This window comes from Homo sapiens, chromosome 22 (assembly GCF_000001405.40).
Source record: "Homo sapiens chromosome 22, GRCh38.p14 Primary Assembly".
Lineage (NCBI taxonomy): Eukaryota > Metazoa > Chordata > Mammalia > Primates > Hominidae > Homo > Homo sapiens.
Genome location: NC_000022.11, coordinates 43,711,136 through 43,727,591, shown reverse-complemented (window position 1 = coordinate 43,727,591; position 16,456 = coordinate 43,711,136). Strand labels below are relative to the sequence as shown.

General features: G+C 38.1%; 1 protein-coding gene across 21 annotated transcripts in view; it reads left to right on the top strand.

Moving 5' to 3' along the window:
• EFCAB6 (EF-hand calcium binding domain 6) overlaps positions 1-16,456 on the top strand; it is a 283,528-nt gene that overhangs the window by 84,714 nt on the left and 182,358 nt on the right. For all 21 annotated transcript variants that reach the window (XR_007067980.1, XM_047441462.1, XM_011530319.4 and 18 more), the window contains 2 exons: positions 10,620-10,744; positions 15,969-16,117. Coding sequence is in view for 20 of the 21 variants with exons in the window: in XM_047441462.1 (XP_047297418.1) it covers positions 10,620-10,744; positions 15,969-16,117 (274 nt within the window). In the remaining variant the exon portion in view is untranslated. The remainder of the gene's footprint in view (positions 1-10,619; positions 10,745-15,968; positions 16,118-16,456) is intronic.

Below are 16,456 nucleotides of genomic sequence, written 5' to 3'. Positions count from 1 at the left end.
TTTACATACACCATAAACACATAATACATTGCTACGCTCCTGTTGTTCCACTGAGATTTCCTGTCTGTTCACTCAACAGAAATATATTTTCTTTTACATTCTCAAACACTGTTATTTTACAATTTTAAGAATTTTTAAATGCTTAAAAATTTTTTTTTCTTTTTGAGACAGGGTCTTGCTGTGTTGCCCAGGCAGGAATGCAGTGGTGCAATCATAGCTCACTGCAGCCTCAAACCCCTGGGCTCAAGTAACCTTCCCACAGCAGCCTCATGACCAGCTAGGACCACAGGCATGCCACTATGCCTGGCTAATTTTTAAAATTATTTTTTGTGGAGATGGCATCTCACTGTCATGCCCAGCCTAGTCTCAAACTCCTAGCATCAAGTGATCCTCTTGCCTCACTCAGCCTCCCCAATTCTGGGATTACAGGCGTGAGCCACTGCACTTGGCTGCTTTAAACTTTTTTATCTGTTAATTCCAACAACTAGGTCATCTCAGGGTTTGGGTTTTAAAACTTTTTTTTCAACATTATACCATAAGAAGTAAGGGTTTGGTCTTTATTGATTACCTTTCTTCTTGAATGTGAATCACAGTTTCCTGAGGTTTTTTCTGTCTCATAATTTTGCAATTTATTCTGGATATAGTAAATGTCTATAATTTTGCATTATAGAAACTATGCATTCTGTTATGTTCTGAAGAATTGTTATTTTGTTTGTTTTAGCAGCCAGTTTACTTGGCTGTATTCAGACTCTAAACTTTGTCCTCCCAGCGGTGGGACATCTTTGTTTCATTATTTTCTCCCTAGAGGGGCAGCTTGGTGTCTTCTCTGCACATCTATAGTTCAGGAGTTGGCCAGAGATTTGGGCAAAGTTTATTCACAGATGTTGGAGATCCCCCTTTATGCCTCTCTTCCTTTTGGGTTTTCCTTCCTTGCCTTCTGGCCACTGTGGGAGGCCTGAACTCTGTTTTCCAATTCCTAAAGCTGGTAAGAGCCTGAATTTATATCCAAATTCTAGCCACTTAGCATGATTCCAGCTGGGGCCTGCCCTCAGGCAAAAAGCCAAATCACAAGAAATTCACTGAGTAAGATTTCATTTTTCCAAGTGCCAGCTTCAGTTTGTATCTGCTTTCAGTTGCTCCCCAGGGCCTCCAGATAGTTTTCTGTTTATATTTTGCCCAGAGTTTTAAATGTTATCTGCTGGGAGGGTTGTATGAGCTAATCCACCAAAATTGGAAGCAAAACTTTCTGTCTACTCATAGTCAGTTTCTTTTTGCTTCAATTTATGCTGTCTTTTTTTTTTTTTTTTTTTTTTTTGGTGAATTTTTACATTTTTTCTTCTGCTTATTTCTTTAGGTATTATAAGAAGGTAAGTTCTAGGATACAATTTCAGTTTTGCTATGGACATCCCTTTTTTTGTTTTTGCATTTTATCAATAATTGGCAGCAGATTTTTAATAATGCATTATTTTATGTATCCCCAATGCCTAAATGAAAGGCGTCTTTGATTTGATCCAATGTAAGCTATATATCCAGTCATTCTGTATATTCCTGTTTCTGCAGCATTAGCTTACATTCTCATTGCTGCCTCCTAACTGGTACCACAGTCTAAAGCCTATTGGCCTATCCCAGTCTGTCTTCTATCCTGCATTCATCGTAAAATACAATCTTAGTTCCATCATTTTTCCTATTGAATACTTATCCTATAACTTTTATCATTGAAATTCAAATCCTCCAGTTAGGAGGCAAAACCATTTTGTGGATGTTCTAAAATAAAGATATAGTAGTTTGGGGTTATGGGGCATATAATATTAAATCTCTACACTAAGGCTGTCAGGACAGAGGCCTATTTATTGGTATGTAGTAGGAAAGGCTGAATTGCTGACACCAGCCCATCATCTTCCCCGCTGCCATCCTACCAGTTCAAAACTTTAGCCCTAAAGTGTAAAACTCATGGTGTCAGCATATTCTTTCTGGGTTGGTGTTATGGTTTCAATGTTAGCCCCCTCCAAAACTCATGTTGAAACTTAATCCCCAATGTAACAGTTTTAAGAGATGTGGCCTTTAAGAGGTGACTGAGTCATGAGGGCTCTGCCCCTGTGAAGGGGATTAATGGATTATCATAACAGTGAGTCTGTTATAAAAGCTAGTTTGGGCCGGGTGCAGTGGGTCACGCCTGTAATCCCAGCACTTTGGGAGGCCGAGGCGGGTGGATCACCTGAAGTCGGGAGTTCAAGACCAGCCTGACTAACATGGAGAAACCCCATCTCTACTAAAAATACAAAATTAGCTGGGCGTGGTGGCGCATGCCTGTAATCCCAGCTATTCGGGAGGCTGAGGCAGGAGAATTGCTTGAACCCGGTAGGCGGGGGGTTACAATGAGCCAAGATTGTGCCATTGCACTCCAGCCTGGGCAACAAGAATGAAACTCCGTCTAAAAAAAAAAAAAAAAAAAAAAAAGCCAGTTTGGCTCTCAACATGCCTCTCTCTTGCCCTGTGATGCTTTCTTCCATGTTACAACAGAGCATGAGGGCCTCAGAAGCCAGCCAGCTGCAGTCCCTTGACCTTGGACTTTCTAGCTTCCAGAACTATAAGAAATATATTTGTTTTCTTTGTAAATTACTTAGTCTCACGTATGTAGTTACAGCAACATAAAAAGGACTAAGATAGAAACTTGATACAGAGAAGTGGGGTTGTTGCCATACAGATAACTGGAAATGTGGAAGCAACTTTGGAACTAGGTAATTGGCAAAGGCTGGAAGTATTTGGAGGAGCAGGCTAGAAAAAGCCTAGATTACCATGAGCAAAGCATTATGGGTGATTCTGGTGAGGGCTTAGAAGAAGTGAAGACAAGAGAAAGTCTAGAACTTTTTGGAGATTACTTGAGTGGTTGTGACCAGAATGTTGATAGAAATATGGATGGTAGGCAGGGCACGGTGGCTCATGCCTGTAATCCTAGCACTTTGGGAGGCCAAGGCAGGCAGATCATTTGAGGTCAGGAGTTAAAGACCAGCCTGGCCAACACAGTGAAACCCTGTCTCTACTAAAAATATAAAAAAATTAGCTGGGCGTGGTGGCGTGTGCCTGTAATCCCAGCTACTTGGGAGGCTGAGGCAGGAGAATCACTTGAACCCAGGAGGCAGAGGTTGCAGTAAGCCAAGATCGTGTCACTGCATTCCAGCCTGGGAGACAGAGCGAGACTCCTTCTCAAAAAAAAAAAAAAAAAAGAAAAAAGAAATATTGACAGTAAACAGTAAAGACCATTCTGACAAGGTCTGAGATGGAAATGAGGGACAAAGTACTGGAAGCTAAAGTAAAGGCCATCCTTTTTATACAGTTGCAAACTTGGCTGCATTGTATCCATGCCATAGGGTGGTGTGACAGGCTGAGCTTGAGAGTGCTGAACTAGGATAGCTGGTGAAAGAAATTTCTAAGCAGCAAAGTGTTCAAGGTGCTGCATGGTTACTTTTGGCCACTTGCAGTGAGATTTGGAAGCAAAAGGATGACAAAGATAAAACTTACAATCCTGAAGGAAGTGCAGCCTGGCCACATGCAGAATGAAAAAAGCATGTTCATGAGAACAAAATAAGGATGTGGCTAAGTGACTCATGGTTAAATAGATTAGCATAAATAGAAAGGACCCTCCCATCACAGACCCAAAGCCATAGGAAGGCAGAATGGTTTTTGGCAATTACCCTAAAAAGCCTGCTCGATGGGCTTGCTGCCCAGGGCCATCTCCGGACTCTGCCCCCACATTCCGGTGCAGGGCTCCTTGGTCCCAGCTGTGGCTTAGGTGCCCCTCTGAAAAGTACAAGCTGTAAAGCTTGGTGGCAGCACACTGGGGCTCACGTGGGCCCAGATGTGGCTTATGCCATAACTCTGGAAGGTGCAAGCAGTAAGCTTTTGACACTATGAGGTGCTAACCCTGCAGGTGTGCAGAATGTAAGAATTGTAGAGGCAGAGTGGGCTCCACCTTTGTTTTCCTTATTCATAATTTGATCTTTTTGTCTGGATGCCCTGATAATTTAAAAAAATTTAAAACCCAATACATTTTGCTAGACTATGTCATGATATTAGGTACTCAAGGTTGAATGATTCCCTGAGTACATTGTGTACTATTTAGGTTTTCATCTGAGTCTCTTTTTTAAAAAAATTCAACTTTTAGATACAGGGGTACATGTGCAGGTTTGTTACACAGGTATACTGCACCCAGGTAGTGAGCATAGCACCCAATAGGTAGTTTTTCAATCCACACCCCCTCCATTTCTCCTCCTCTAGTAGGCCCTGTTATCTGTTGTTCCCATGCTTATATCCATGTGTGTTCAACTTTTTGTTGTCATTTTAACAATGTTCATAGCATCTTTACCAGGAGTAGATTTCATCTCAAGAGACCACTTATTTTGCTCATCCATAAGAAACAACTCCTCATCCCTTAAAGTTTGAACAGAAGATTACAGCAATATAGTCACATCTTCAGGCTCCACTTTTAATTCTAGTTCTCTTGCTATTTCCACTACGTATACAGTTACTTCCTCCACTGAAGTCTTGAACCCCTTAAAGTCATCCATTAGGGTTGGAATAAACTTCGTTCAATGTTTACCTCCCACTTATAAGAGAGAACATGCAGTGTTTGGTTTTCTGTTCCTGTGTTAGTTTGCTTAGAATTATGGCCTCCAGCTCCATGCATGTTGCTGCAAATGACTTGATTTTATTCTTTTTTATGGCTGTGTGGTATTCTGTGGTATATCCGTACCACATTTTCTTTATCCAGTCCACCACTGATGGGCACCTATGTTTATTCCATGTCTTTGCTATGGTGAATAGTGCTACAATGAACATATGAGTGCATGTGTTGTTGGCATAATAATCTATTTTCCACTAGATATATGCCCAGTAATTGGATTGCTGCGTTGAATAGTAGCTCTGTTTTAAATTCTTTGAGAAATCTCCAAACTGCTTTCCACAGTAGCTGAACTGATTTACATTCCCACCAACAATGCCTGAGTGTTCCCTTTTCTCTGCAGCCTTGCCAGCATCTGTTGTTTTTTGACTTTTTTTTTTTTTTGAGATGCAGTCTCACTCTTTCATCAGGCTGGAGTGCAGCAGCGCGATCCCGGCTCACTGCAACCTCTGCCTCTTGGGTTCAAGCGATTCTTCTGCCTCAGCCTCCTGAGTAGCTGGGATTACAGGCGCATGCCACCACACTTAGCTAATTTTAATTTTTTTTTTTTAAGTAGAGATGGGGTTTCACCATGTTAGCCAGGATGGTCTCGATCTCTTGACCTCGTGATCTGCCCACCTTGGCCTCCCAAAGTGCTGGGATTACAGGTGTGAGCCACCACGCCCTGCCTTTTTTGACTTTTTAATAATAGCCAATCTGATTGGTGTAAGATGGTATCTCCTTGTGGCTTCAATTTGCATTTCTCTGATGATTAGTGATTATGAGCATTTTTTCATATGTTTGTTGGCCGTGTGTATGTCTTCTTCTTTTGAGAAGTGTCTGTTCGTGTCCTTTGTCCATTTTTTAATGGGGTTATTTGTTTTCTGCTTGTTGATATTGTGTTTAAATTCCTTACAGATTTTAGATATTAGGACTTTGTCAGATGCATACTTTTCAAATATTTTCTCCCATTCTGTAGGTTGTCTGTTTATTGATAGTTTCTTTTGCTGTGCAGAAAAGTTCTTTAGTTTAAGAAGGCCCCACTTATCCATTTTTATTTTTGTTGCAATTGCTTTTGGGGACTTAGCCAAACATTCTTTGCCAAGGCTGATGTTGAGAAGGATATTTCCCAGTTTTTCTTCTAGATTTTTATAGTTTGAGGTCTTCCATTTACTTCTTTCATCCATCTTGAGTTAATTTTTATATATAGTGAAAGGTAAGGGTCCAGATTCATTCTTCTGCATATGGCTAGCCTGTTATCCCAATACTATTTATTTAATAGGGAGAACTTCCTCCATTGCTTATTTTTGTCTGCCTTGTCAAAGATCGGATGTTTTAAGTGGGTAGCTTTATTTCTGAGTTTCCTATTCTGTTCCATTTGCCTATGTGTCTGTTTTTGTACTAGTGTCATGCTGTTTTGCTTTCTATAGTCTTATAGTATAGTTTGTAGTTGGGTAGACTGATGCCTTCAGCTTTGTTCTTTTTGCTTAGGATTGCTTTGGCTATTTGGGCTTTGGGTTTTGTTTTGTTTTGTTTGTTGTTCCATATGAATTTTAGGATAGCTTTTTCTAATTCTTGAAGAGTGACATTGATAGCTAGATTGGAACTGCGTGGAATCTGTTCATTGCTTTGGGCAGTATGGCCATTTTAATGATACTGATTCTTTCAATCCGTAAGCATAGAATATTTTTTCCACTTATTTGTGTCATCTCTAGTTTCTTTCAGCACTGTTTTGTGCTTCTTCTTGTAGAGATCTTTCACCTCCTTGGTTAGCTGTATTCTCAGGTATTTTATTTTCTTTGTGGCTATTGCACGTGGGATTGTATTCTTGATTTGACTCTCAGCCTGGACATTATTGATGTATAGAAATGCCACTGATTTTTGTACATTGATTTTGTGTACTGAAACCTTGTTTAAATGATTTATCAGTTCTAGTAGCCTTTTGGCAGAGTCTGTAGGGTTTTCTAGGTATAGAATCATATTGTCAGCAAAGAGAGATAGTTTGACTTCTTCATTTCGTATGTGGATGCCTTTTCTTTCTTTCTCTTGCCTGATTCCTCTGGCTAGGACTTCCTCTTTAATTTCTTGAATTGTGATTTTTAGTATTTTTTCCATTCCATTGTTTGGTTTTCTTCTCAGTGATTCATATCATATGTATTGTATCTTTTGGATTCCCTATCCAAAAGATAGGATCTTTTTTCCCCCTCTCTTCTCTTCTACACCACAACTTCCTCACAAGTCCTTCTTCCTCCCTTTTTTCTTACTTTCTTCCTCCCTCCCTTCCTCTCTCTTTTCCTCCCTCTCTCCCTTCTTTGTTTCCTTCCATGATATAACTTTGATTTCACCTCCTATTACTATTGTGTTTATTTGCTCTTGTGTTTCTTTTAGTTTAGTCTTCATTTCTTATTTTATTTTATTTTTTAGAGACAGGGTCTTGCTCTGTCACCCAGGCTGGAGCGCAATGGCATGATCATAGCTCACTGCAGCCTTGAACTCCTGGGCTCAAGCAGTTCTCCTGCCTCAGCCTCCCGAGTAGCTTGGACCACAGGTACATGCTACTGTGCCCGGCTATTTTTTTTTTTTTAATCTTTTGTAGAGACAGGTTCTGCTTTGTTGCCCATGCTGGTCTTGAACTCCTGGCTTCCTGCCTCGGTCTCTCAAAGTGCTGGGATTACATGTGTAAGCCACTGTGCCCAGCTTAGTCTCCTCTCCTTTCCTTTCCTTGAACCCGGCCTAGTCTTCATTTCTGAAATGATTTTTTTTTTCATCTTTATTGAGGTATAACTGACAAGTTAAAATTGTGTGTATTTAAGATGTACAATGTGGTGATTTGATGTACATATACATTGTGAAATGTTTATTACAGTAAATTAGTTAACACCTCCATCACCTCACATGGATACCTTTTTTTGTGTGTGGTGAGAACACTTAACATCTATTCTCTTAGCAAATTTCATGGTGGCTATTCGTTAATAATACAACGTTTTATACCTGACATAATGTTTTTTTGTAATTTGCTCCTGATTTCTGTCATCTGAGTTCTGAGTTTTCAGACTCTGATTGATACTGCTCTTCCATGACTCCTATCATTGAAACAGTATTATGAATCAATACGTAGCTAATACCTATTGAGTATCTACCAAGTGCCAGGCAAGTACCTCTATCAGCTCATCTAATCCAGGTAGCAGTTCCATGACAAAGGTACTGTTTTCTATCTCTTCTTGTAAATAAGGAAACAAAAGCACACCATTGCATAGCTAGTAAGTGGGAGAGCCAGTCAGCAAATTTTTTGGGGGAAAATATGTTATATAAGAACAAATTACCAAGAGCCGGTTAGAGGTTTGGTGCTGTTCTCACCTCTATAAGAGAGTCGCTAGTTCATATATTTGCAGCAACCTTTTATCTCTGACTTCTCTAAATGTGGAACAATGTGTTCTATTAATTTTGCTAACTTCTGTTTTGGTTCCATTTGTGTTCTTAATAAGCCACCACCATCTTGCTTATGAAAAGCACCATCTATTTGGGCACATGAAGAAAGATGCTGGGGAGCAGATTTCCTTTCGCCTGCAGTGAACATAAACCGCACTGTAAGCTTTGGATTGCTTCTCCACCCAGTTTCACATTGGGTAGCATCATCCTTCAGAGGAAATTTTGAGAAAATCAGAAGGTTGCAGGCATTATCAAGCTGCCCTGGAGAATGAAAGCTGGTATAATTGTGGTGAGAGAGGCGTCACTGAATACACCGTACCGAGTGCTGTCAGCCAGCCTGTGAGAGCAGCCACAGGGCGTGTGCACAGACCTGTGGGCCGTGAGCTCCCCAGGGCAGGCCTCACACCCTAATCCCTTCTCCACCCTTCCAAGCCAGACATGTTGTTTAAACAGAGCCCCAGTGGGCTTCCCGAAATGTGCCATGAGAGTACCAGTGTCACAGGTGGACTGAGAACAGGATGAGGTGTCCAAGAGGGGCTGGAGGCCTCTGTGTGCTAGACCACTTCAGGTCCCGCTTCTGTGACACAGCTTCCTCATCTTTCAGCGAGGGCCCTTGCAGCTCAAATGTCCTGAGACACCAGGTTTCAAATGCTCAGCCCACTGTGGCTGTAGAATTCCAGACCAAGACCAAATTTGTTGATATTATTATTATTATTACGGTTATTTGAGGTGGAGCCTCTCTCTGTCACCAGGCTAGAGTGCAGTGGCATGATCTCAGCTCACTACAACCTCCGCCTCCCAGGTTCAAGCAGTTCTCCTGACTCAGCCTCCCGAGGAGCTGGGACTATAGGCGTGCCGCAATGACCGGCTCATTTTTGTATTTTCAGTAGAGACAGGGTTTCACCACGTTGGCCAGTTTGGTCTCAAACTCCTGACCTCAGGTGATCTGCCCGTCTTGGCCTCCCAAAGTGCTGGGATTACAGGCATGAGCCACTGTGCCTGGCCATGACCAAGTTCTAAAGACCAACTTTGTCTTTTATTATATAGCCCAGAGGGATCTTTTTTTTTCTCCCCTTTCTCTTTTTTGGAGCTAGGAAATAGAATTCCAGATGACTGGCAGTTTGTTAACTGCAGCTGAATTAAGTGTGCTTAATTTGGCTGAAGCGTATTTGCAGACATTTTAGGAAATAAATCTGGGAAACCATTTGTGATTCTTTGCAGTCAACTTTGAGAAAGAAAATGGCTATATTTTAGATTTATTTCATTCTCTTTTATTATAAAAATAATACATGCTTGTTTCAAAAAAGCCAGAAAACACAAAAACACTAAATAATAATCCCGTATAATTCTACTACCTGAATCCTACCACTTTTTCTTTTTCGTGTAGTATCCTCTCAGATTTTGTTTCTGGTACTTACATGGATGGATGGATGGATGGATGGGTGGATGGATGGATGGATGCATAGAAAGATATACAAAATAAGTGTTAAAATGAAATTATGCTAATTACCCCTTTAAAATCATGAAACAATATATAGCAAAGAACATTTCCCACATCCGTTAATTTAGACACGTATCTTTGTTTTTAAAGTCTGTGTAGTATTTCATAGGCTTGATGGACCATTCATTTATAAAATTCATCTTCTATGAATGGGCATTTAGATTGTTTCATTTTTTTCCTCTCATAAAGAAAAGTGCAGAAAATATCCTTATCCATGTGAATTCGGTGAGTAGCCCTATTATGCCATGAGTACAAAACTCTAGAAAAGGATTTAAGCATATTCAAGTACCAAGTTTTTATACACAAGCCAGAACTGGTTCTTATTATTCCCTTTACTCCTTGCCTATTTGACCAGTAGAAAAAAATGTTAATTTGTTTTAATAAGACTTTAAAAATGATCAATGAGCTTGAGTAGTCCATACATTTATTGGATGCTTTAAAATTCTTTTTATGTGAATTATCTGTCTATAACCTTAGTCTACTGTTCTATTGGATGTTTATATTTATTTTATTGATTCATAAGAGCTACTCATATATTATGAAAATTAACCTGTATTTCTCATGTATATTAACAATAGTTCTTCTCCACTCATTATTTTTTCACTGTTAACTTGTGGCTTTTTTTTTTTTTACCAAACAAAAATCAAGTATTTATGTTGTCAAACTTATCCTTTATTTAAATAAATTCTGGCTTTAGTGTTTTCCTTGGCAAGGCTTTCTCACACAAAGATTATGTAGTATGTAACAGTCATCTTAATTTTCTTCTATTTTTATGGTTGTATTATTCTATTTAGTGTACATTTCACTCTATCTAGTGTTTATCCTAGAGTAAGATAGTGAGTAGATGATTACTTTTATTTTTTCCAAAATGTTTAGCCAGTTATTTCAACACCATTAATCAGATGGTTCATCATTTTCTTGGTTTATTCAAGCCTTCCTTTTTTACCAAACAAGTAATGATTAAAATGAAACAATATTTAAATGTTTAACCTTTGACAATGTTGATAAGCCGAAGCTATTTTGTTTCAACAGAGGTCTCGTTGGAGAATCAACAAGCCAAAAATTCCAAAAAGGAACGTTTGCTAGGTTCTGCATCATCTGAAGATATCTGGAGAAACTACTCCTTGGATGAAATTGAGAGGAACTTTTGTCTACAAGTAAGATGTTTTCCTAAGCCACAATTACCTACAGAGTAAACACAGCAAAGTAGACAATATGGAAAACTATTAGGTTTACACATTATTTCTAAAATTTGTTTCGATCCTACCTATGTCTTCTCCAATACTGAGACCCCCTCTACCTCCCAATAACAGCAATACATTGATCATGGATAATCGTGATGGTGATGTGAAATTAATTTTTAAGTACATCCTTTGTGCTACTCACATACTAACTCTAATAAGACATATAAAGAAATAATGCAACGTTATTGAGTAACGTAAAGGAAAACATGAATAAGTGAAGAGGTCTTTTCTGATTCTTGGATTGGAAGATTTAGTATTACTACCTATTCTTCCTATATCAGGATATATATTTTTTCTTCTGAAAAATTATAATAGAGGACTTACTCTACACATATAAAATATTTTATAAAGACATAATAATTAAGACAATATGGCATTGGTGCAGCAATGGACATTCAAATGGATTTAAAGGGGTAGTTGGCTAATGAACCACTCTTTATATGTGAACTTAGCCTGTGATGTGAAGCATTTCAATAAAGTGTAGTGAGAGAGGCTTATTTGGTAATTATTATTGAGATAATTTGCTATCCAGCCATTTTGGGGAACGAAGATTATAACCTTCCACTCTTCACCAAAAATAAATTCTATCTTCATCAACAATTTAAATGTAAGTAATGTGGGTAAACATGTATTAATGTTGAAATTTAGAATCTCTTGTAAGCATGAAGTAAAGCCCAAAAGCCTTAAAGAAAAAGACTGATAAAATTTAACTTCAGAAAAATGAACAATCCTTTATACAGCAAAACTTTGTATAAACATATGATAAACTTGGCACAATATGTGCAACATAAATGACAGATGAATAATTCCCAACATTCATAGAACTTTTACATATTATTAATATAAAATGTTCAATAGACGGATGTCAATGCAGGAGGAACTCACAAAGCCAGTGTCGATAAGGGTGTTGGAGAAGTGAGCACTGTCATATTTGTGGGTAATTTGGTTAAATTTGTTTTCTCTAGTTGTTGTTAATGACTTTCTTGTTTTCATAAAAACATGACCATTGCAAAAAACGTAAGCAATTCTAAAAAGTACAAAGAAGAAAGTAATAAACTATTCACAATCCACCACCCAGAAAGAATCAAAGGCAACATTTGGTGAACATAATTCTGGACCTCTCTTTATTCATGTATAGAAGGACGGCTGGATCAGTGGGTAGGTGGAGACATAGATAGAAATAATTTTATAAGAAGAGGATCATACTCCTTTTTAAAAATAAAACGTATTTAATTTAAATTTCCTTGAATTTCCCAGAAGAAAAGGAAATGTCAGCATCGCCATCATATTTAACTCTTTTATGGGATGTTCTCTGTGCCAGGCAGTGTTGCCAGTGCTTTGCTGGTGGTCTGTTCAGTCTTCACAGCAACCCCATGAGCAGCGCACTGTGATCGTCCAGCTGAGGACACTGAGGCATGAATAGGTTAAATGAGTCCAGCTAAGTCCTGGGGCTGAGTGTAAACAGCCTATGCAGTGCAGGCTTATCCAGTCCCTGCCCTTAACCCTGCAACACTGTCCTCAAGGGAAAGTGGAGACACTAAGAACTCTGGATGAACATTTCCTTCCCGCAAGACTTATTAGGTCCCCAAAGGGACTCTAAGGCGAGAAAAGAGATTTTAAAAGCTATTAAGAGCTGGAGAAACTATGTTTTTGAAGGATGTTTCCATTTCAGACAGTATGGGCTGGCTTTCTGCTATGAAACTCGAAGTGACGGGTACTTGTTTCTTCCTACGCCTACCTCCCACCTCACCATTTTTGCTCTTTATAGTTTGTCCTTAGCTGAGTTTATAATATTTATACTCTGTTCAGTTGCCATAATTCCCCCTGTTGTTTTGACTTTGTTTTATATTTGCATGAATTTAATGTGCATCACGATAGTGCAGCACTGATCACAGTTTATCCCTCTCAGAGTTCTTTATTTTGATTTATTTTTTGGTTGGCTGGATTTCATTGTCAAGTAATTTCCTTAGGAAAGGCTCATGGGTGCCTTATTCCCTTTGTTTTTTTCATATTTGAAACTATGTGCCTTTTGCTTTTATATTTGAACAGCAACTTGGCTGGCTATAATCCGTCCATCATGCTTTCTTTTCCTTTAATGTTGTAAATATTTTTTCCATTGTCTTCTAGCATTGGATGTTGCTGTGAAAATAACCTGGAGTCAGCCGGAATTCTTTCCCCCTTGTAGGTGATTTCTTTTTTTACCTGGATTCCTGAAGCTTTTTTTTTTTCTTGATCCTTGAAATTAACAAAGCAAAACAAAGCTATATCTCGGCATGGACCATTTTGACAAAGTTTCCTGGAATACAGTGTGATGGACAGATTCAGTTCTTCCTTTACTTCAGGAAAATCAATGTGGTGGCAAGCAATGGATACTGTGTCATAGTACTAAAATCATCTCCTCTCTCTCCCTTCCTCCTTCTATCCTTCCTTCCTTCCACAGTAGTCCCTGTTATCCTTATATTGGATCATCTTTGCCTCTCCTTCATAGCTGTCATCTTCTCTCAAGTTGATTTAATTCTTTTGTCCCTTTCCTCTGCTTCATTGAGATTCTTCCACGGCACTCCTTTAATACTAATTTAAATCTCATCCTTGCCTCTTATTCTTGCTGTGTCTAATTTATTAGTTCCTGTAATGATGCTATTTTTATTTTCTATTTTCTTAGCTTTGAAATATTCCTTCTTAATGACAATTTCTAAAAAGTTATTTTATCATTTTCAAGATTTTCTTTCAATTAATTGATTTTCTAATTTAGTTCCTTTTTGTGGCATGAAATTTTTGCAGGGGATGTGTTCATATTCTTTTATATTCTGTCTTCTTCCATTCCGGGTTCTTTGTCTTTGCCTGATCCTTCTTTCTCTTTTTCCCCATCATATATTGGCATAGTTGCAAAACCATTTATTTTTCATCCTGTTTGTGCTCAAGATGAGATTCACTCATATTATGAGTATAGCTGTGTTATCATTTTCACTGCTCTACAGTTTCCCTTATCTAAATATTTTGCAAGTTATACATTCTCCTATGGATGGACATTTGGATTGCTTCCTGTTTTATGCCAACCCAAACAGCGCCACCATAAGTGGTTGTAAGCTTAGCTTCTGGTCCACAGATGCCAAGGTTTCTCCGGAAATTACACCTAGGAGTGGAGTTGTGAGCTGGGTTGTAGAGAACATGCCCCTCAGGCTCAATGGGCAGTATCCTATTGCTTGCCACCATATTGATTTACACTCCCACCAGAAGCACGTGAGCACTCCTGCTGTTCCACGTGCCCCCAACACTTGATACTGCTAAGCTTGTACATTTCTGCCTGTCTGATACAGATGAAATGCTATCTCAGCTATAATTTTTATTTCACTTTTTACTAATGTGTTGAACAGCCTTTTATATTTTATAACTTTTGTTTAGAACGTTTTTGATAAAAATATACCCACTTTTAATAAATATTTATTGAGTGCTGACTGCATGCCAATAATGTGCTTCATTCTAGGTAATTATTTGTGAACAAAACAGATACGATCTCTGCTCGTATAGAGATCACGTTACCTTATATCAGGGAGAGAGTTATTAAACAGGTAAAAAGTCATGAATACAATTTTTTTTTAGTGGTATGATGAAAAAGACCAGGGTGTTATGAGAGAGAATAACAGCAGGGACCTCATTTAGATTTAAGACTAAGGAAACATTTATAAAAACTAAACATATGAAGATGGAAAATGGATGTACTGTTGGCTTTTCCATCAAGAATATGATGGTATGTGAAGGTGAGACTACCAGGTATTTTTATTTCCTTTTTTATACTTTGCTGAATTGCTTGCATTTTTTTTAAACAAAGGCTTGTACTTTCTATATAAACAGTAACAATGAAAATTTCTAAAAAGTTATATTTGTCACAAGGACACTATTTCGGTTTCATACCTTACCCATTTTCTAAAAGCTCTTGATCATCGCAGAAACACTCTCCTGAAGAAAAAAAAGTATGGAAAACCATATGTCATTAAGACATTAAAAATGGGTTTCACCAATCCAGTAACTGCACCGAGCCCCCGCTACACACCAGGCTCTTGCCTCTTGCTTCTCTCTCCAAGTCTTCCCCCAGGCAGTGTATCAGATGCAGCCCACCTCCCTGAAAGAGAAATGGACAAATTTAGCTGCTCTTTGGGTTAATTTTATGCAATTTTCTAAGAAGCTTAGGTCCTTTCTAATGAACTTATATCTCTAAATATTTTTATTAAAGATATTTCCCTTTAGATACCAATATTTCTATGCACACTAAGGAAAATTTAGTGATTCTGCTTTTTATTCCTTTAGTGGATCGAGTTTCTTATACATATATTTCCATGTTCCAGGAGCTCTTTAAGAAAATGACCTTTTACACCAAGTTGTGGTGATTTTGTTTATCTTCTTATCCCAGTTAGCAGGAAAAAATTGAATTCAGACAAAGTGGGATGGTTGAAGATATTGGAGAATATTGTTATTACTCAATAATAAACAGCAGGAAAACCTTTGGAAATAAAACCCGTCTTCACAGTATTTTTATGAGTCATATAAAAATCAGTGGTTAACCTATGTTACTGCATTTTAGAAGCCCCATAAGCAAAGCTCGTTCACCCAGGTTCTTTATAATTCCTCATTAAAAAAAAGAAAAGGATGATTAAAGAAATGTCCAATGTATATTGTGTTTATGCAGTCCTTATATTAATAATTTTCCTTACTGTAAAAGCTACTTCTATTTTTAATAAAATATTACCAGCTTTTTTGTTTGATTGGCCTGATTTAATCAGGAGAAGCGTAGCGTGGGCTCACAGTAGGGAAAAACTTGAAAGTATATTAAGGAAGATGTATCAAACCGGCAGATCTACCAAGTATTTTTAGCTCTGAAATTTGAGGTGGAGCTATTCTATGTGCTGTTTTTCCCTGGGAAACGTGTCTGCCTTGTCACTTGAGTAGCTGTGACTGGGAATACTGTTTTGTAGTGAGCTCATCAATTAAACATTTGAAGTTCAGTACATGCCATAGTAACCTTTTTGATCAGTTTTTGGAGAGAAAAATTTGAAGAGGTTTTTGGTAAAAATAAAATGGTTGAATAGCTCCATGAAGTTGATATTTATGAACGCCACACTCTAATTTCAATTTATTGCAGCTTTCGAAGTCTTATGAAAAGGTTGAAAAGGCCCTCAGTGCAGGGGACCCCTGTAAAGGTGGCTACGTGTCTTTTAATTATCTAAAGATTGTCCTCGACACTTTTGTATACCAAATACCAAGAAGAATTTTTATCCAGTTAATGAAAAGGTAAGAGTCTCATTGTTTCCTTGACATTTTTTTCCCCAAACGTCAACCGTAAGAATAAGGCACAGCTTCGTTTATTTTTTATTAATGTTTTAGACTTTTTATTACTGAAAATTTAAAACGTATACAGAAGTAAAGGGAATAATATAGTAAATCCATGAATGTACCCACTACCCAGCTTCAACAATGGTCAAATCTTGGCCAATTATTTCATTTGTATTCCTGCTCATGTTCTTCAACCCCAGATATTTCTGAAACAAATACCAGATAGCATATTTCCCTCTCTCTCTAAAAAATAAGAACTCTTTTTAGAAACAAGGTGAAAATACAGTTTTCACATCT